Source organism: Homo sapiens, chromosome 3, assembly GCF_000001405.40.
Source record: "Homo sapiens chromosome 3, GRCh38.p14 Primary Assembly".
In the NCBI taxonomy this organism is placed as follows: domain Eukaryota; kingdom Metazoa; phylum Chordata; class Mammalia; order Primates; family Hominidae; genus Homo; species Homo sapiens.
In genome coordinates, this window is record NC_000003.12 from 88,109,294 (window position 1) to 88,131,687 (window position 22,394).

Sequence of the window (22,394 nt, forward strand, 5' to 3'; positions counted from 1 at the left end):
TGCTCTTTGTTACTAAGTAGGACTGAATAGAAATTTCTGTAAGATACCAAACCTTCAGTTAGTATATATAGAAAGAGTTCTTAAAAGTTGAGTGTTTTAAATAAAATGTGGGTAAGAGTTTATTATATTATTGTTTGACTCACATAGAGTAGACCTAATTTTCCTTTACTTAAATTGGTAAGTGGATTTCTTTTATTTGGACAATTAAGTATCATATTTAGTGGAATTTTCCTATGGCAGATAAATGCACAAATCTTTCTTGTATTTTAGTGTAAAAATTACTAATATGCTACAGAAATCCAAAAAAGAGTAAGGGTTAGCAGAAGTCTAAGAGTTTGTTTATAAGTAGACCTGCACAGTTTAAATCTGCGTTATTCAAGGGGGAACTGTAAATCATTTTGTTTGGGAATATCCCGGATAATTATTTCAATTTAGGTAAGTGAACTGTACATAACTTACAATTTGGACTAAAATTTTTTTATAAATGTATAAACTGAACATATTAAACATGGTAAAAAATAATATATTAAACACATTTATTGTAGAAACATATTAAACATGTTCAACAGGAAAAACTGCTAAATATTATGATACAATAATACATTTTTGGAAAGAAATCTTTTGATGAGTTTAATCAGATTTTTAAAAAAATCTTCATAATTTAAGAATAATTAGCCTGTTACATTTCAACAAAATTGACATATGCATAGCTGAGCAGAACAAACCTCTGAAGATCTTGTGTTTCCTTATAGATTGTTGAAGAAAATCTGGATGGTGACATGTTAATAAATAATGGTTGTACTATGTTATTAATCAGCAAATACCTATGCACTAAGTGCCAGGAATTGTGCCAAGTGCTTTTCAAGAGGTAGTTACTATTATTGTGTTTTATAAATAAACTGAAGCATTGAGATATTAAGTAACTTGCTCAGGGTTACTCATCAATTAAGTAGTGGAGCTGAGATTCAAACCCAAACAGCTAGACCATGGGTCTGTAAAGGACCAGATACTAAATATTATAGGCTGTCTGCCTATAATAGGTCTGTGTTGTCACTGGTCAACTCTACCACTGTGGTATGAAAGCAGCTGTAGTCAATATGTAAATAAATGCATATGACTCTGTTCCAGTAATACCTTATATATTGGCACTGATCATTGAATTTCATGTAATTTTCACCCACCATGAAATACTGTTCTTTTGACTTAAAAAAATTTAAATATGGCTAACCATTCATTTCTCATGTACTATACAAAAACTGGCCTTGCTCGGGCCAGATTTGGCCTGTGAGCAGTAGTTTACCAGCCTTGCTGTAGACTGTTACTCATATTTTGGGCTTCTACTTTATACTATTTTGGACTCATTCATTCTGCACCCTACAGAGTTTTCTTCCGTAAGGAGAGCTATACAAGTTGATCTGTAAACATTTAGTTGACTATTTATACAGTCAATAGGAAATACAACAGGTTGGAAACAAGAGGTTTCTAATTCTACGTGTATTTCAGATTCTTATAGTAATTTCAGACTTTTCTTCATAAATACTTGCTGACTTCCTTAAAACTTCCTCTAAGGAAAAGGTTTGATGTGTTTTGCCTTTATTTGCTGTTACTTTGCATGTGGTTTTTCTCTTTTTAATATCATTATCATGGAGTTGGACCATGTTATTTAGGTAACTGGTAGTGGGGCATGCACACTACCATCTGTGCTTTAGATAGTACAGTCCAAACAGCAGTTTGTAAAGTTGGTAAGTAGTGGGTTCATTTCTGTGTTTTAGGAAGATAATAACTGCTGTGTTGAACATGGATTTTGAGTAAGTATGGAATGTCAAGAGTGGAGGTCCATTAGATGTTTAAAGATGAGATAGATGTGAATTAGTGCTTTGTTACTAGGAATAGAGAAGATTCCAGAGATGCTTTTTGTTGGGCTTGTTTTATACTTATTAATAGTAAAAATGAAAAATTACAAAACGATTAATAACGAAAAATAATTCTCCCTTTCATTTCTGACCCCTAGTTCTTATTTACCCTTTGCAGAGTCAGTTGCTTTGTTGGATATCCTGCTAGATAGTCTGACAATGTATAAACTTTATGTATTGGTATATATGTTCCCCCACCCCCTGACCCCTCACCTCCATTCCCATTTACACAAAGATAATGTAATGAATATATATCTCTGGGTCTTTGCTTAACAATATATCTTGGAATTTTTTAATTCATATAGATGTAGCTATATTCTCACTAATGTTCCGTTAATATTTGTATTATATTTCATTGTATGGATATATTTAATTTACCTAGTACCCTATGGTAGACATTCTGAATATTTCCAGTTTTTTGCTTCTATAAACCATTTGTAATGTATATTGTTGTTTCTGTCTTTGAGCTTATATATGTATATTTCGAGGATGAAATTTCTATAAGTAGAACTGCTAGGTCAAATGGTATGTGTACATTTTAAATTGTGATGAGTATAGGAACATTTACATTCCCTCCAACAAGATTATCAGGTCCTGTTTCTATACACCAAAGCCATCATAGAATACATCATCTCTTTTATTTTCATAAATATGAGAGGAGAAATGGCATTTAATCTTTATAATTTTGGCCTAATAATGAATAAGAGCATGTTTTTCTATTGGAAAACAAATCCACTTGCATTTACTTTCTGCGAAATATTCTCTTGCAGTTTTCTACTAGGTTATTGACTTTTTTAACCTAACTTCTAGAAGCATTTAAATTAAGGAAATCATCAAAGAATATTTTTCAGTGTATCAGTTTGCTTTTGATTGGTTTTACGTTTTTTGGTCTGTTGATATTTTAAAATTTGTAGTAGTCAAATTTATAAAAACGTCAGGTTATGGAGTATGGTGATTGTGCTATAAATGTGTAATTTTGTAATATTTAGGTCTTATATAATTTTAAAAGCATATATATTCTCATGTTTACATTTTATAATTTTAGTCTATTAGTGATTTGTTTTGATTAAAAGCAAAAACTATTAAAAAAACAACTTTAGGTAGTTACACTTGAGGATCTGCTAGATGAATTAAGATCTAAGATTTAGAGGGATTTGTCACTTGTACTACTTTAGGATTGCTAAATAATAAATAATTTTATAATTTTCCATGCTCATGATTAGGAAATCATTCATGTTCCTTTCTTTATGAATCATAAATTATTAAGAGCACATAAAGTATTTAGTAACAGTATTTCCAAATAATTTATTTAAAAAGGAGGAACTACAGAATTTGAGCCATCCTGTTATGAGTGGGATAATCAAGGTAAGCTTAGTGTGAGGAACCATGTGTCATTTATTAGATATGGTTGTTAGTATATGCTATAATATAAATGTTGGCCGAGAGTTTTATGGTGATTTTCTAACTTATGTTTTTGTGTTAATTTTATTCAACTCTTGTATCACCCTGAAAAAAATGAGATTTTGGATTTTCTCTGGAGTCCCATTATATTAGGGTGAAGCTGGACTTTGGGTTCATTTTAGATGATCCTTGTGTATATAGCTATCATTGTTGTGACCTTGTATGCCATTAAATTGTATTGCATTGTGGTCATTAGTAGGCATGAGTAGTATAATTGTTTCATTCTATAGTTCTAAAACTTAAGTATATTTCTTTGTATTTTCCTTGAAGGCACTTCTTTTAAAATCTTACAGAAAACATAATATGAATTCTAGTGTTCAGTACAATTTTTTAAACCAAAATATTTTAAGTCAAATATTGATATTAGATAGCTGATACTGTTTGATAATCTTTTAATTGGAGCAAAACTCAAAGAAGCAATGAAAGTTATTCACTTATTCTTTCTAGGAGTTTCTTTGAGTTGCTGCTGTTCTTTGGAAGAGATGAGTTTTATGAAGAGCCCTTAAAGGATATTCTTGGATCATTCCAGGTAAAAAACAGTTTACTACTTCACACTTTGTCTACACTTAAAATAGACCATTATGCTCCCCCTAAATATAGCTTATTGGTTATTATTGCTTATAAGTTTTTAATGATTGCTAAGGTGACAGTGTTTAAGATCCTATTATTACTGGCTGATAAAGAAAATTCATACAATTAATTTTTAACTGTATTTCCAAGCAGTTCATAGCTGGAATTCCTATTCTACATTTGTTAGAAAAGAGCCTGCTACCACCCTTGTGGATTCCTAGAACTTAGTCCTGGTGAAAAACGATTCTTCTTTGCCAGACTTGAAGTAAGCTGTCTATCCCATGCCACTTTTTCCCTTGGCTGTACCTTGATTTTCTCTCTCATAATAGCTTTCCGAAGCTAGGAGACAGAAGATTTTTTTTTATTTTTGGGCACCTGGTATAGGAGAGAAGAGAGTAAATTCAGATGGGAATGACAAAAGAGTCAAGACCTCTCCTGTAGATGAAAGACATTTGATCTTTTTACTACTTACTGGGAAGCAACCCTGACCCACTCGGTGAAGTAAAGGAAGATGTACTTTGAGCTCCCCCTAGGGGTGAAGTGTCCCTGATCACCCATTTAGAACTGAAATATACAGACAACATATCTTATATTTGTTAACCATGGTGTTAAAGGCTTATAGACAACCAGTACTGCTGTATTAGGTACGTTATATTGAACATTCTACTTTAACCATTCTTACCTTCAGCAAAAGAGGTAAAAATACCTGTTTTCATGGAACTTATGTTCCAATTAGAGTATATATTCAAGTATTTAAAACTTACTAATTTTCCATTCTCCGTAATCCATTCTTAAACTTTTACTTGGCAAATGTTTATTGAGTCCCCACAGTGTGCTAATGCACTAAGGTCTAAGAAAAACAGTAGTAAGCAAAACAGAAAAAATCTTCCTATTGTGGAGTTATTAATGATTCTGGCATAGGGACAGAAAGACAATCAAACCTTTATAAATGAAAAATTGACAGATTCCTTAGAGAAAAATAAAGGAGGATGGGGATAGTGCTGGCATGGTGATATTGGGGAAGGATATTTCAGTATTAAATGGGGAGGTAAAGAAATACCTCATAGAGATGTTGGCTGACCACTGATAATGGGAACCACTGAAATGTTTGGAGTAGATGAGGGACAATATTTAACTTCCACTTTAAATGTATGAAAAACATAACATTTGTGAAGGGATATATCCTTTATTTTTTCCCTTGTAAGCAGGGTGCCCATTCAGTTATCAAAATAATAAATTTCTCAAGGAAAAGTTAGCGGTTTTGCATACTTTTCTATCTCCTGCTCTGATCCTTTGACACTCTCTAATCCTGGCTGATTCTAATTTCCATATACTACCTGCCTCCCCCAGCCTTTTAAAAATCTCTGCCATTTCTGCCACTTTTGTTACTGTGGCTTCTTCCTACTCTGAATTTCCTTGAGCCTCTAACTCCTATCTTCTAGGATAGGTTTCACCTTTTGCTGTCATGTTATCTTTACCTAGAGAAACATCCTTCATTTGCTGACCTGAGCTTATGCTGTGGGTGCTTCCCAGGCCTGTGCCCTTAGGAACTCAGGAAGGGCCAACATGTAGTCCATCATGTATACCTCCCTAAAACCTTGTATTTTCCAAGCTTATGAATTCTCCAGGCTTTTGACTGACACTGATAATAGTGACCAATAGTGATAAGTGACTAATTCAGTGACAACCCCAAATGTAACTTTTTGAAATATTTTTCATAAATTATACTGTGCAAGTTAAGTGCAAACCCTAGCTCCGCAGTGGTTCTTCTCCATACATCTTTCATACAGATTCATACCAGCATAAGATGGTGTTCTTTCTCGTCTCCCATAAGTAGGACAAACACAGTCCTACTCATATTTTAATGTACATAAAGATCACCTGGGGATCTTGTTAAAATTTAGATTATGAATCAGTAGTTGTGGGAGGGGACCTGATAGTCTGCATTTCTGATAAGCTCCAAGGTGATATTAATGCTGCTAGTCCCTGAACCACACTTTGAATACCAAGGTATTCTTTGTTGGATTTGAGTTAACTTCTCTTTCCCCCCGCTGTATTTCAACTGTGAGTTTACCAGCTTTGCTGCTTACACTGTGTCATCCTGGGCAAGTTTCATAATTTCTGTACCAGTTTCTTTATTTGTAAAATGGAGGCAATAACTATACTTGCTGCATAGTCACTTTATGGGTTAAATGAGTAAAGTGCTTGGCATAATTCCTGGCAAAATGATCATGTCACTGTTTTTAAGGTAGGCAGTAGAGCCTGTCTGGTGAAGGGTATGGGTTCTCAAGTCTTACTACTTGGATTTTTATTTTTACAATAATACCAAAACCAAGCTATTAGATTTATTATTTTCTTCCATGAATTTCTGATCTCCTAAAATCTGAGTTGTTCAAGTAGAAATTTTTAACTCTTCTTACCTATAATTTTTCCTCTCCGTTATTTCTAGAAGAAACTTCATTCTTAGAGCCAAATGTTCCATTTACTGGCTTCCGAAAGTTTTCTTCTTAGCCTTTTACTTCCAGTAGTTTTTGTTTGCATTTCTCATATGATGCATCTGCCTCATCATCATCATTATATCTAGCAGTTTTCGAGATTCCCAATGAAGTGACAAAAATAATGTAAAATGAGGGAAAATAATAATGATAAATGCTGGAAATTAGGATGGGAACTTTATGTCAGTTGCTCAGGGATGAAGCCAGATTGACAGATGGGCCAAACAATACTTGATTGACTGAATGCGATGAAACAGGGAAATGTGTGAGAGAGGAAAAGATAATATAGAGAGAAAGAGAGAACTTCCACTGGTATCCAGTCATGTCCCCCTCTATCCCCTGCTTGTAACAACAAGGGCTGGAGGAAATAGCAGGTGGTAGGGATTTGGGGTGTGGTCAATCTCATTCTTGTTGCTGCTTCTCAGAAGTGCATCAGGCATGCAGCAGAGCCTAAAGGACAGAAATCCTGAGTGACTTTTATACCCACATTAAAAATAAGATATATGGGCCAGGCATAGTGGTTCACCCCTGTAATCCCAGCACTTTGGGAGGCCGAGGCGGGCAGATCACCTGAGGGTGGGAACTCGAGACCAGCCTGACCAACATGGAGAAAACTCGTCCCTACTAAAAATACAAAATTAGCAGGTCGTGGCGGCTCATGCCTGTAATCCCAGCTACTTGGGAGGCTGAGGCAGGAGAATCGCTTGAACCTGAGAGGCAGAGGTTGCAGTGAGCCGAGATCACACCATCGCACTCCATCCAGCCAGGGCAACAAGAGCGAAACTCTGTCTCAAAAGAAAAAAAAATACATACATACATACATATATATACACACACACACACACATGCACATATATTATATATATGTGTGTATATATGTTGTGTGTGTGTGTGTATATATATGTATATATATGGCTTTTCATGAGAGCATTCTTCCCACTGAGAGAATGAGGGTATGATCCAAACTAAATGCAGCCAGCCCCATTACCCAGAGGTAAGAAAGTCTTATAAGAGAGGTGTGGTTGTCTTTCACTGAAGCATCCTCTTTACTCTCTCATAGGCCATGATCTACTAAATTAAACTGTAGTACATGTAAACTTTCTTCTTCTCTCTTTGTTTGGGCATGAAGGATTTGACAGAGACTTATTCACCTGCTAGTAAAACAGTTCTCTGTTCTAGATGTTCTAGGTAAAGATGACTAAAGAGGATAAATACCTCAGTTATCATCAGTTAACTGGAAAGATAAGACAGTTTAAAAAAATTTTTTCTTAAAGGATCTGTTACGTTTTTGCTGAGGTTGAGTTTATAATATCTTCCATGAATATAAGTGAAATTGCAAAGAAGGGACAACCCGAAAGAACATACAGAGGTAAAATATTATATAGAGATGGAACTATCAAATTGAAAGTACAGTGAAGGCAATTAGCAGATTAACTCCAGTAAAAACCAAATTAATGAAGGAAATAATATCTAAAATGTAATTTAATTTTCAACTCATAATTACTTACAGACATAACTTGATTCTACTTTTTAATTTTGGGGATAAAGGAAAGTTCCTGAAAATGTAGGACTCATGTAGAACAAACAGGATTCCCACAAAGGAAAAAATCAAATCAGGCTGGCAATAAAATTCTCTATAGTAACAAATGCCAGCATAAATAATGTCTGGATTTTTTTAAGAGGAAAAATATGATTTAATAATATAGTTGTCAAGCCCTATAGTTTATAAGATAGAGCAACAGAAATAAATAGTCTAAATACTTGGAAACAAACTGATGACAGGTCTTTTATCAGGACAACAAAGTAGTATGCCAGGTGATCAAAATAAAGAATTTACAAATGGGGTCATTACAGAATAAAAGAAATAGGACTGACCTGAGGAAAAAATAAGGCATTTTTATTATGGTTATCATGAAGAATCCATTAATGTCTAATGATTCCAGAAAAGGAAAATACAAATTGTAAAAAGCACACACAATAATCTGGAACTAGGATCTCAGATTATGGTATTGATTGGATGGAGATAAGGAAGATAGAATCAAATGTATTTTTGGGCATCTATGCGGAAATAACTACAGGGTGGTGACATTTGTTAAGGGAGCAGTGATTATATAAGGGGAAGTGCAGCATAGAGAAAGTTGTTAAGTTTCATTCTAGACACACTGAGTTTTAAATGTCTGGAACTTACCAGTACTATTGCCCAATAGATGATTAAAAAAAAAAAACAACCAAGAACATTTACTACTTTTATAAATTAAGAGAAACATAGATGTTTTAGTTGTTGTTGTTGTTTTAATAATAAGGGAAAAAAGCAACTGTGGGGTAGTAACTGAAATGCCAACTAAACCAGTAATCTAAAAGTCTTACTACCAAAGCTCTGCAAGTGGTTTAATGAGCCTGCCCTGACGTTAGAGAAAAGTCTATCCTTATCCGGTGAAGCCAGTATATAAGTCGCAAAGATCTTTTTTGTTCAGGCTAGAAGTAGGCCTTAATAAAGCCTTCTTTCCCTGAGACACAACCTGTTTTTTATTTGCTTGTCCTTTGGGTCAGTCAGGAAAGGGAGTTAGGAGGTGGTATGGGATATCATGTCCCAAGCAGGAGGCTCAACGCTATCTCACTGCGTAATATACCATAGGAGAAGTGGAAAAAATCATCAAAGGTAAAAGAGCCAGCCACATGAAAGGAGTTGAAAAGCCCACCCTCCTTTGTGGGGCAAGTGTTGATCTCCCCTAAGAAATGAGTGTATAGTCATCATAAACCAGCAAACCTCCCAGATTTTATTATTTTTAGCTAAGATGAAGACGTTTAGAACTACTGACTTTCCACTAAAACCTCAAAACCTGGACCATGGCCCTTCTCTAGAGTACTTGGAATAAGTTTCCCAAAGACTTAATTTGGGAAGGTCCTAATCTTGGTAGTCACAACAACCTTTGTAGTGCTAGCTAAAAGGCTTTAAAAGAAAACAACCATATCAGCTTAATAGCAAAGCATTTTTTGAGGCGAATTTTCAAAACTGTGCTACCATATTTTCTGCTCAAATAATTCTCTCTTGGGTCTACTCAACTGCACTTTGACTGTGTGACAAATCAAAACCACAATGAGATACCATCTCACACCAGTTAGAATGGCAATCATTAAAAAGTCAGGAAACAACAGGTGCTGGAGAGGATGTGGAGAAATAGGAACACTTTTACACTGTTGGTGGGACTGTAAACTAGTTCAACCATTGTGGAAGTCAGTGTGGCGATTCCTCAGGGATCTAGAACTGGAAATACCATTTGACCCAGCCATCCCATTACTGGGTATATACCCAAAGGACTATAAATCATGCTGCTATAAAGACACATGCACACGTATGTTTACTGCGGCATTATTCACAATAGCAAAGACTTGGAACCAACCCAAATGTCCAACAATGATAGACTGGATTAAGAAAATGTGGCACATACACACCATGGAATACTATGCAGCCATAAAAAATGATGAGTTCATGTCCTTTGTAGGGACATGGATGAAATTGGAAATCATCATTCTCAGTAAACTATCGCAAGAACAAAAAACCAAACACTGCATATTCTCACTCATAGGTGGGAATTGAACAATGAGAACACATGGACATAGGAAGGGGAACATCACACTCTGGGGACTGTTGTGGGGTGGGGGGAGGGGGGAGGGGGGAGGGATAGCATTGGGAGATATACCTAATGCTAGATGACGAGTTAGTGGGTGTGCGCACCAGCATGGCACATGTATACATATGTAACTAACCTGCACAATGTGCACGTGTACCCTAAAACTTAAAGTATAATAATAAATTAAAAAAAAAAAAACAATAATTATTGGAGACTAACTAGCCCACTTTGTAGCTTAGGCAGCACTGTGACCTGTTGCCTTGACTGACTCCAGTGTTCTTTCTGCTAAATCAAATTTTATATTTATTTCTTTGTATGCAAACCTGTGCTCAAAAAATCTTGCATGCACCTTAATTCTGCTTCAAGGCCTGTGTTAGGATGATGACAGTTGTTAGAACAGCGACAATTAATATGATAGCCATATTAATTCATTACTTATTTTAAAATGCTAATGATAGGGTTGTACTTCCATTAGCATGGCAACTACCAACTAATTTTGAAATATGACTATGCTGTTAGTTGATGGTTTTACCGTAGTTATGATTGGCTTCCTCTTCAGATAAAACTCTGCTAATTAAAAGTAGCATGTACATTTATTACTTTTTACTTATTAAACAAGGAATAATTATTCATATTTTAAATATTCTTTTTTTCAAGTCCCAAAAAGGATATCCTTAAATAGCTCAATAAATACATAATTCTACTTATTTAAAAAAAAATCAAATAATGTAACTTATAGGCATTCATATATTTTTATAATTTTGAGACTGAGAGTCATCTTAAAAATTATTAATCCAATTCCCTTATTTTACATATCTGAAAATTAAGTTGCAACAGAGTTGAGGTTTATAGAAGCAGAATGAGGGCCTAAGTCTTACTCTTAACCCAGCATTCTAATTCTTTCTATGCCATATTCCCTAATCCATTATAAAAATATGCTTATATGTTTACAGTAATGTATATGGCAAAAGAACAGGTTTAAATGTTTTATTTATACTGCTATCTTGAGAGCTTTATTGTCTAAGCTTTTAAAACCTTCTAAAGACTGCCTTATTAGGAATGGGGAGGGATGAAGAAACTTTAGTTTGGTGATCTGAGTGGTAGTCGATAGAGGCCTAGACTAGAATGGTAATTGTAGAAATGGCAAGGAAGAAGCAAATCAGGAGATGGTGAAGAAAATTGACATGATAATCAATAGAAGACAAACATGAGTTTTACATTCAGCCCCAAACACAAATATAAAAACAAATAATACCTAAGACCAGGGTCTCCAGACTTCTGCTTTACTATACAGTTTTTAAAATACAGTTTGAGCACATATCCTCTTTATGCGTATATTACTTACGCACATGTACTCATACTATATACATTATAAAACAAAAGTACATTTAAAAAGGATGAAACTAAAATAATGTTTTAAATTCAACAGTATAAAGTCAGTGACATTAGTGTGATTATAGCGTATTTTTGAAAAATTTTCAAAATTACTGTATCACAGTGATATAGTAATTCAAAGTCTGATTTTAGGTTCAGTTTACTTTGATGTTTGGTCATAAGTTGAAAGGATACTTTTGATAGAAAATTTTCTTGTCTGAGCATTAGGACAAGTACCTAATGCATGTGGTGCTTAAAAGCTAGGTGATGGGTTGATAGGTGCAGAAAACCACCATGGTACGTGTATACCTATGTAACAAACCTGTATATTCAGCACATGTATCCCAGAACTTAAAGTAAAATAAATAATAAATCCAAACAAAGATGAGCAAAATAAAAAAAAAGAAAATTTTCCTTTCTGAATCATGATGCTCAGTTTAAAATGCCTTCCGTGAATTATGCAAAATTTGACTACCAAATTTGTATTCCTAAAGTCAATCTATGTTTTCTTTAATACTAACCACTTTTAACAATGAATTAAAAACTCATTAAAATGTTCCAGTTGAAAATTTTTTCAACAGAAAATTCTTAAGTTTTTTAATGGCATAATAGAAGCATTATACATGACATACTGATTTTTGGCAACAGCAATCATGTAATAAATGCAGATACTTCCAAATGTTCATTTTAAATCATTTTCTTTGTAAAAACTTTCTATTGAAAAACAGTAACTTCTTTCATTGTTATAACTGTCCCCTTTATTTTATATGGGCAAGCTCAGAATGATTAATTTTTGAAAATACCAGGTAAATATTCCTCAGGAACCTATCATAAAAAAAGAATGGCAAATTAAACATGATTGCCTTTTTGTAAAGGAAAAATGCATAACATCCTTAAATTTTATAACTTTATGAAGTGCTTTGCTATGAGATAACCAATCAATGTGTAATAAGATTTATGATTATTCTCATCTCATTTCAAAGTATTATAAAGACTACTGTATTTCAAAGATTACGTTTTTATAATATTAACCATATTGAAGACCTTTTACATTTTTGTCTTAATTTGCTGCAGTAACTTGCTTATGAGTGAATTGGATAGGTGGTGTTCTGTAGCTTTATTCTGGAATCTTCATTTCGTTCAGACTCCATAGTGCTTCCATTTACACAGATTTCCATAAAACCCTATTTTGATTAAAAAGTTACTTATTATTGAGAATGTATCTTCTCTGGCACACCTTTCCCTTCCTGTCTGTTTGAAAAAACTTTTAACCACCTAAGAAGATGTCAACACTTAAGATAGTAATGCAAGGCCTTCCTCTTACATAATAATGTAGCACAAATGTTCAATATGGCAGGAGAAGAAATTAAGTTTATTATGGATTAAGGTAGCTAGTAGAAGCTTCTTGGGGAAAGTGGGATTGTGTAAAGATAGGATTTAGATACGTTCATGGAAGTTGTAGGAGAATGACATGAGAAATGGCATAGGTAAGAAAAGACAAGGTGAATTTTGGGAGATGTGGAAGAGACCAGGCTGAAGAAAAGAATACATGATGTGCAATAGGTGAATGAGTAGGCAGGTAAGTCCAGAAGTCCTTAAATTTGAGATTAAAGTGGTAAGACTTTCATCCTATGATAAACTGCTGACGGATCCAGACCAATTATGTAGAATGGCCAGAACACTGATCCATAGCTTCACAGACACATGTTGTAGGTGCCTTCTCTAAAATGGCAACCAGTTCAGGGAAAAGAATCTTCCTTTTGGGGTAAAATATTAAGAAATGTATTCTGAAAGAAGTGAGGGAGTTGTATTTTCGCTCTACCTTTGGCCAAGACACAAAGTTGAATGGAAGTAATTAAGGGGATTATATTTAGCACAGTGTAATGTGGGTATCAATAATAGTAGACTGATGACTTAATAAAGGATTAAGTTGATATAGAGGCACAATTTATTATTTAAGTAAATATTCTAGAAAAATACAATATGTATGGCTGGGTACGGTGGCTCATACCTGTAATCCCAGCACTTTGGGAAACCGAGGTGGGCAGATCACCTGAGGTGAGGAGTTCGATACCAGCCTGGCCAGCATGGTGAAACCCTGTCTCTACTAATAATACAAAAATTAGCTAGGCATGGTGGTGGGCGCCTGTAATCTCAGCTACTCAGGAGGGTGAGGCAGGAGAAACACTTGAACCTGGGAGGCCGAGGTTGCAGTGAGCCAAGGTTGCACCATTGCACTCCTGCCTGGGCGACAGAGTGAGGCTCTGAGTCTCAAAAAAAAAAAAAAAGTAAAAAGAAAAAAAGAAAAATACAATGTGTATATATACCCTAGGAGAGAATAAGTTGTGCATTCTACAGTAATTTAAGTGCTTCCTTATTCACTTCGAGGTTTTAAATTGAATATCATCCAAAAAAGCCACTATTCTATTTAAGGAACGAGGAGCCAAAAAATACTTGTAAGCTTATTGTTCTTTCTTCCTTTGTCTTTTTAAATAGACCAAAATGAAATCTTTATTTCATCTGTTTCCTATCCTGAGCTGTTTTCCATAAGAGTGGTCTCCAAAATATGGTATTTTTGACCCACGAAGTGTACATACACAAAAACACCATTTATAATTAATTTTTATCTTAGAAAAATGAATGGAAGCTAGTTTACTAATTTTTAACAAAGATTGGCAAGAGTCAAGTATATAATTCATAATGTAATCATTTATGGGAGTAGACACTAAGTGTGGGAGGTGTAATATTAAAAGTGTCCCATAGTTGCCTGTGGGTGGGAGTTGTTAAATATTCAAATTATCAGGGCTTTCCCCTAGAAATTCTGATTCAGTAGGTCTAAATTAGGTCCTAGGAATCTGTTTTTTAAAAAGAGCTCTAAGTGTTTCTTATTTTCAGCCAACTTCAGGAAGTTGGAAATACATCTTGACTTAGTCCTAAGTCCAGTTCTAAGTCCCATAGTACTGACTGATGCCTCACCTATCCTTAGACAACTAGAAAGATGGATTGTCCCAGGACTGAGCAGCAGAACTAAGCTCACCAATGACTCAGGGACTAGTGTCCAACTTACCTTATTTCTCATGCTTTGATTGGACCAAAAGCTAGCTTAGAGTAGTTGAATTTTCGGGGCAGTCATCTGTATGTCTAGAGTAATTTGGGAGCTTGCTACCTTGCTTACCTTGGGAGGTTTCAGTTGATCATTGTTTTAACCCATGAAGCTGTTCCCAAGAATCATTACAGTGTTCCATGTATGTTAAATTCATGGCTGATCAATACCTTTATATTTACCCCATATTTAATGAATGCTTTAACATGGTGACATGTGGAAATGCAGAAATTTCATGCCAAGGAAACTAGATGCCCTAAAATAAGATATTTATTCGAACTGTTAAAATACTAGAAGAAATAATAGCTAATGTCTTTTGAGCGCTTACTAGGTGCTAGGCACTGTTCCAAGCACTTTCTAGTACTGTATATTATTACTTCATCCTCACAACAATCCTATGAAGTAGGTGTTTTAGTATCCATTTTACAGAGGAATTGACTGATAGAGCAGAGAGGTTAAGTAACTTGCCCATTGTTGGTAGGATTTTTGTTTGCTTGATTGCTTAATTTGGGACCAACCTTAAATAACTTAGAAGATATTTATTTTCATAATGTTTGACTATAAGTGATGTTTTGACTGGACTGAATGATTATTTTAAAACTTGGTTTCTTCTACTACTTTCTTCTCTCATAAAACAAGTAAAACCTCTTTTGTATATTTTAACCAGGAATGCAACGTGGCATATATAAATCACTTTATAATCTCAGCAAATTATGAAAGAATATGACAGTTTAATAAAAGCAAAGTGTTTGTAGCCACTTTGAATATGTAGCCTTGATTCATCTAATAAGTAACATTTCTGAAAATATGTTTTTTTAAATTCTGAAGCTTTGCTTTATAACTGCTACTACGTTTTTAATATCAGAGATTTTGTGAGCACAGAATTAAATTCTGGCAATTGCTTGTGTTTTGATTGATGTACAATACTCAGTTTTTTTTTTTTCAACATTGCCAGTTTCTACATCTAGTTTTTTCTTAACGCTTTAAGCTCTATTTATGCATTTTTGAAAATAATACTTTTACTAGATATTCAGTTAATCTTTCTAAATTGTCAAATTCGATTCTCTGAACCATTTTAAAAAACAATACCTTGGCCAGACACGGTGGCTCACGCCTGTAATCCCAGCACTTTGGGAGGCCGAGGCAGGCGGATCATGAGGTCAAGAGATTGAGACTATCCTGGCTAACACGGTGAAACTCTGTCTCTACTAAAAATACAAAAAATTAGCTGGGCATGGTGACACGCGCCTGTAGTCCCAGCTACTTGGGAGGCTGAGGCAGGAGAATCGCTTGAACCTGGGAGGCAGAGGTTGCAGTGAGCCAAGATCGTGCCACTGCACTCCAGCCTGGGCATCAAAGTTAAGACTCCATCTCAAAAAAAAAAACAAAAAAACAAAAAAAAACCAATATCTAATAAAGTATGTAATGAGCCAAAAAGCATAATCAAACTATACAGATCTTATAAATCTAGATCTAATAAATGAGATTTATATATTCAGTAAACTAAGACTCATTGCATACAAACTTGTTACAAATTTCATGTTATAATGACAAGTCCAAGCAGATTCTCTGAAAAACATTTCAAATATCTTTTTTTAAAAACCTAGAAAATGTATGGACAAATTCACAACTATTGCCCAACTTAACAATACATCTTTATCTTAAATCTAAAGCAAAGTAGAGGTTGGATTTACTTATTTATAGATTTATTTCTTTAACCTGTCATTTTTTTAATCCCAGAACTGCAAATCTAATTATCCAACAAAGGGAAACAGAATCTCCATCTTCCAGCCTTCTACCACGATTTAGATTATATATTTGGGATCAGGACAGGAGACTTTTGTCTACCTGCCAGCCAGAGAGAGACTTTACATTTAGCAGACACCCCACGCCCCCTGCCCTACCACGCTCTCTTTTTCTTATCAGGCTCTTGCCTGCCATTGTTAAGAGAAATTTTATGAACCTTTATATAAATTTAACTGAACATTTAAGTTTCAGTTTTTTGCAACCTGGTTCTTTTCCTAGAAATGATGTGTCCTTTAGGTTACACGTCATCCCTATTTGGGATTTTCTAAGTCCAGTTATACAGATACTGCTGTATAACCTTTGGCATTAAAGCCTATTTGTGTTCATGGGGTTTCGACACCCTACTTAGGTTACAATAGTAACCCTTTCTCTTTTATAATTTAATAGCTGCCTCACTGGCCATCAGTCATTTTATTGACAATGATGATCAAGTTTAGTTTTTAACCCCTTTAAATTCACAGAGCCAAAATGATTTTTCTCTCCTAGGAATGCCAGAATCACCTCCGCAGATATGGAAATGTGAATCTGGAACTGGTGACTCGAATCATTAGAGATGGTGGCCCATGGGAAGATCCAGTGTTGCAAGCTGTCCTTAAAGCTCAGCCAGCATCTCAGGAGATAGGTACTTCAGGAGATTCAAAATCAAACCAACATTTGTGAGAAGCAAATACACTTTCATTTACTAACTAGAGCAGTAATAGTAATTTTTCTTCATTTTATAATACTGAATAATGGGAGTGATGTATTTTCACATGAAAAGTGTTTGTTTTTCTAAACTGGCCCAAAGTGACTTCTGACACCTGGATCGGTACATTTATTTCTTGTAATGGAAATTCTCAGTGGTAACACATCTACTAGATGTTATTTATTTACAGAGAGTGTATTTTTGTCACTTCAGTTATATTATTAAAATTTGTTTAAGTAGAAACATCTTTTTTTTTTTTTTTTTTTTTTTTTAAGAAACAAAAAGTCTGCTTTTCATGAAAGCACATGGAATCTCACTTCCCTTACACAGGAAACTTAATGAGGGCTGGAACTCTGAATTTTTGTCACTACTACTGCATATCCTATAGCTAGCCCAGTGCTTGGTACAGAGTAGATGCTTAATATAAGTATTTGTTGATTGAATGAATGACCACATGATGAATGTGTGAGTGAATAAGTGACTAACTGAATGAATAAATTTGAATTCTAGAGCAGTATTTCCCAAACTTCATGCATTAGAAGTTTTGTCTTATACCCTTACTACCTGCATATTTCTTTGATATCACCTCCTGTCCAATCTGATTTAACAGCGGTCCTTTGTAGGCCAAAATTTCCTTTCAAGGCAGGAGGCTTTGTCAACTGCTGTTAATTCTTTTTTAAAATGTTCCCCATATCATTCCTGAACCCCAGAACATTTTGGATCACCAAAACTGTAGAATGTAAGCTCAGTAACAGTGAATAAGCACTAAAGTGTAGAAAACATTTAAAAGTGTGGAGAGAGCCAATGGAGTTTAGTTATGAGACAGCCAAGGGGAAAAAAACAAGACCTCCCAACCCTGGAACCAGTTAGACCTTGGTTTTGTGAAAAAGACATTTCATACCACAAATTTTGTTGAGCAGGTTATTTCTGTTAGTCACAGGCTAAGGGGTTAGGGTGGGTTGTGAATGCAGTTAAGTGGAGGAGGAGCTGTGAAGGGATGGGAGGTGGGACAAGACTAGGAGGATAGGGCTAAGGTATACGTGACAGTGTTATGAAGAACCCAAGGGGTAAAAAGGACACTGGTGTTTGATGTGTGGATCTTGGAAAGGGAGTTAAAAAAAAAACTAAAAGGGAGAGAGTTGTTGCTGAGGAGGAAGAGTTGGATTACTGAAGAAGTATGAAGAGTCAAATATAGGGAAGGCAAGGGTGACAGACTAGAGGAAATTATGAGGAGACTGCATGTGCCCAGAGGGGAAGAAGCTAGACAAAGACAGAGTTTCAAGAGAAGTGAGGACAGGGGAGAAGAAAGTTTGAGCTTTTAAGGGATAGATTTAGGCTTCACTCGTAGGATCTAGAATAAACCTGTTGTTCGTTCGTCTGAGGGCTGATGGCCTTTTAGGCTGGGAATTACATTAAAATAATAAATACTCCTTTGATACCTATACTAGCATACCTCACACTTTGGGAAAAGCTGCTCTAGAGCCTCATTGATATGGATGACTTTTCTCTAGTTGGTGATCATTAGGGGAAAGACCAGAGTGAAGTTATCTTTGCATTAACAATACAAATCAGTGTTTGCATATCATATATTGTAAACAGAATTGCAAGACAAATTTTTAAGTCAAAATAAAACATTTGTAAGCACTTTAGAAGCTACTGATTAAATATAAGTAATTAAAATACTTCTGGATTCAAAATCATAAAAATACGGGTTCCAGTTCCTGCTCTGCCACTTAATTATTTGTCCTTGGGCAAGTCATTTGACCTCTCTGAGACTCAGTTTTGCAATCTATAAAGCTAGTATCATAATACCCATCATAAGGTTGTTGTTAGGTCTAAATAAATTTATTTAGCTAATGGTGTTTATATATTTTAAAATTGTGTAAAGTATTAATTAGTAATTATCCTTAGTAATACATAAATGTATATTAATAAGCAGTCCTATTTGGCACTACTTTTGGATTAATTTTATCTTTAAATAAAATATATTTTTCTTGTGATTCAACTTTTTCATTAATTCAGATTACATCTCTATAATTAATGTGAACTAACATGGTTTTAATGTGACAGATTAGGATTCAGCCTTTTAATCTTAAAGAAAATATTGAGCAGTAAGAAGATAAAGTATGTAATCTTAGACTAAAAAGACATAGACCCATGTTACTTGGAACATATTTTAACATATTAATGAACTGAAAGAAGAAAAAAAATTTTTTTTTAAATTTTGTTTCTGTTATTTACTTTTTAGACTAAGAAATCAACAAATATTTCTTGAGCACTGTTTTGGTGTCACTCTTCTTTTCCTTTTTCCAACCATATAACTGAATATTTTCACAAATAAACTCCTACTAAGGAAAATGCTATTTAAGTAGTTAAATCTAATTAGAAACCATATTTTAGTGGTAAAGTTTCAAAGAACAAAGTTTGAGAGAATCTTTTCTTGAGAGTAATAGAGTCTGTTTTCTTTTTAATATAGTGAACAAATATTTAAGTTCTGAAAATCCACTGTTCTTTGAACTACGTGCCAGATACCTAATTGCTTGTGAACGCATACCCGAAGCAATGGCTCTTATTAAATCTTGTATAAATCACCCAGAAATCAGTAAAGACTTATACTTCCATCAAGCACTCTTCACATGTCTGTTTATGTCACCTGTAGAAGATCAGCTATTCCGGGAGGTATTGTTTGAGACTATTTTTGCCTATTACCATTTTAACCCTACCAAAAAAAAACCAAAAAAAAAAAGTAGCCCACTGTTGTTGTTAAATTCCTTTTACAGTAATGCCAAAGATTTAAGGATTACATTATCTGGATGTGTTTTCTTTTGGCACCATAACTTAAGGTCATGTTGAATTAGTCAAAATCTGATATTAACAAATGATGAAATCAATAAAATATACTCATTAATAAGTATTATTCACATTGCACTTTTGATGTGATGGAGAAGAGGTCAAATAAAAGTCAACAAGCTCACAGCTTGCCAGGAGTAAAAAAAAAAAAAAAAAAAAAAAACCCAAGAAGCATTATGATCTTGCCTTGAAAATAAAGTACTAGAGGTAAAATGCTCATGTTTATTTTGTTTCTTAAGGTGAAGGAATTAATCTTTTCCTAATATGGATCGTATGTACCTATAGGTTGTGGACATTAATGAGATTAAAAGTAGTCATTGTAAAATGTAGGTGCTGTACAGTGAAACTATGAAACCATGAAAATATTTCTGTACAAGTCATCATTGTCTTTGTAGAAGAAAACTAGAAATCTAAGCAATTTCTCTTGAATGTTTAAACATTTATTGCAACTAGCTTCTTAGATATTTTTAATTATATGAACTGATTTCTCTTTTCCTCTTACAGCATTTATTGAAAACTGATTGTAAGAGTGGAATTGATATCATCTGTAATGCTGAAAAAGAAGGCAAAACTATGTTAGCCTTGCAACTCTGTGAATCCTTTCTTATTCCACAGCTCCAGAATGGGGATATGTACTGTATCTGGTAAGTGTTTGTAAATAAAGAAATTGAAATGGTAAGATGGGCAACAGAAAGGAAATTGCAGTTTGAACTTTGTTTTTTACATTGTATGAAAATGTCAAGCTACTTTTAAAAAAAAATTGATTGTGCAAGGAACAATAGTAGATTCTAAGAACTAGAGACTTTAAAAAGAAATGATAATGTGCCACTAAACTGATAGTGTAAATGTTTAAGGGATGTGCTATAATGAAACAGTGGTTTGAAATTAAATTTTAATTTGGAGTCTGAGTTTTTAAAACATTTAAAAGTTGCTAGTAGAATATATGAAGCAGCAGGTTTACCTAGCAATCATGTAATTTAAAATGTAATATGAGTGTTTTTAGGTAGCTAAAATAAAAACACTCTTCAGGGGCTATTAAGAATTTCTGTTTCCTCAGCTCCAGTACACCCATATACACACATACACACACAAAACTCTTACCACTTTGCTGTTTCATTAATTCTTAACAGAAAACTAGGTTTTATTTGCTAAACATAATCTGAAATGATCATGGGCTATAAACATTTTTTTAAATTCTCAATTAAATTAATAGCTTGAAGGCATATAGCTGCAAATCATAATACTTCAATATTCTTGGTTATTTTTTGTTTTTGTTTTTGTTTTTTGGAGACAGGGTTTCACTGTGTCTCTCAGGCTAGAATACAGTGGTGCGATCATGGCTCACTGCAGCCTCAACTTCTGGGCTCAAGTGATTTTCCCGCCTCAGCCTCCTCAGTAGCTGGGACTACAGATGTGTGCAACCATGCCCAGCTAATTTTTTTTTTTTTTTTTTGGTAGAGATGGGGATTCATTGTTTTGCCCAGGCCGGTTTGGAACTCCTTGGGCTCAAGTAAATCTGCCCTCCTCAGCCTCCCAAAGTGCTGGGATTATAGGCATGAGCCACTGTGCCTGGCCCTATTCTTGTTTTATAGATTAAAATCTTCAAACTCAGAGATAAGAGTCAAATAGCTAGTTAGGAGGAGACCTGGATCTGGAAACAGGTAAATTTGTTTTCTAGGGGTTACAGTATACCTTTAGTTAGATTATGCTAATTTTTATTTAAAATTATACCATGTAAATTGGAATTTCAAATAGAGAAAGGGATTAGGAGGTAGTGGTAAGACATACACACACCTTTATATACAGTTATGCAGCACTTAATGATGGGGATATATTCTAAGTAATATGTCAATAGGCAGTTTCCTTGTGTGAATATTGTAGAGATACAAACCTAGATGGTATATCCTACTGCACATCTGGGCTATATGATGTAGCCTGTTGCTCCTAGGCTACAAACCTGTATGGCAGTGTTACTGTACTGAATGCTGTAGGCAATTATAACACAATGGTAAGTATTTGTCTATGCAGACATATCTAAATATAGAAAAAGTACAGTAAAAATGATATTATAATCTTGTGTGACCACTGTTGTATACGCAGTCTTCTGTTCACTGAAATGTTGTTACACTGCGTATAACTGTAGTTTTTGAAGTATTATCATTTTTTGACATGTGGTTATTTGGAAACTGAAAATAGTCATGACAGTTATAATAGATCTTTTCCTATGGGAATAGAAATGTTCTCTGCCCTGAGCTATATCACACTATTTAAACAGGGTATCTTTAGTTCTTTCATTGTAATATACTCATAAATAAACTAGAAACAAGTATACACAAACACACACACAAACCCAGAAAAACACATTTTATTTTCTTATTCTCTTGGTAACCCATTTCTACTCTTTAGGGAAGGACCTAAATATTATAATGCCTGTCTTCTGGCTCCTGGCCACAGAAACCTTCTAAGAATAGAGGCTCAGTGTCTCCAGCTGCCTAACCAAAAAGG

The 22,394-nt window shown here is 34.4% G+C and overlaps 2 protein-coding genes across 13 annotated transcripts in view; one reads left to right on the forward strand and one right to left on the reverse strand.

The window, feature by feature from the left end:
• Nucleotides 1-22,394, reverse strand: part of CGGBP1 (CGG triplet repeat binding protein 1) — a 97,921-nt gene that overhangs the window by 57,344 nt on the left and 18,183 nt on the right. The gene's annotated exons all lie outside the window — the stretch shown is intronic.
• ZNF654 (zinc finger protein 654) overlaps nt 1-22,394 on the forward strand; it is an 85,406-nt gene that overhangs the window by 50,039 nt on the left and 12,973 nt on the right. For 3 of the 12 annotated variants that reach the window (XM_017006789.3, NM_001350134.2, NM_001366095.1), the window contains 4 exons: nt 3,822-3,903; nt 16,841-16,976; nt 19,516-19,718; nt 20,394-20,533. In XM_017006789.3, coding sequence (XP_016862278.1) covers nt 3,822-3,903; nt 16,841-16,976; nt 19,516-19,718; nt 20,394-20,533 — 561 coding nt within the window. Of the gene's footprint in view, nt 1-3,821; nt 3,904-16,840; nt 17,011-19,515; nt 19,719-20,393; nt 20,534-22,394 lie in introns of those variants that run through there. The other 9 variants (NM_001350136.2, NM_001366096.1, XM_047448514.1 and 6 more) reach the window with 6 other exon arrangements.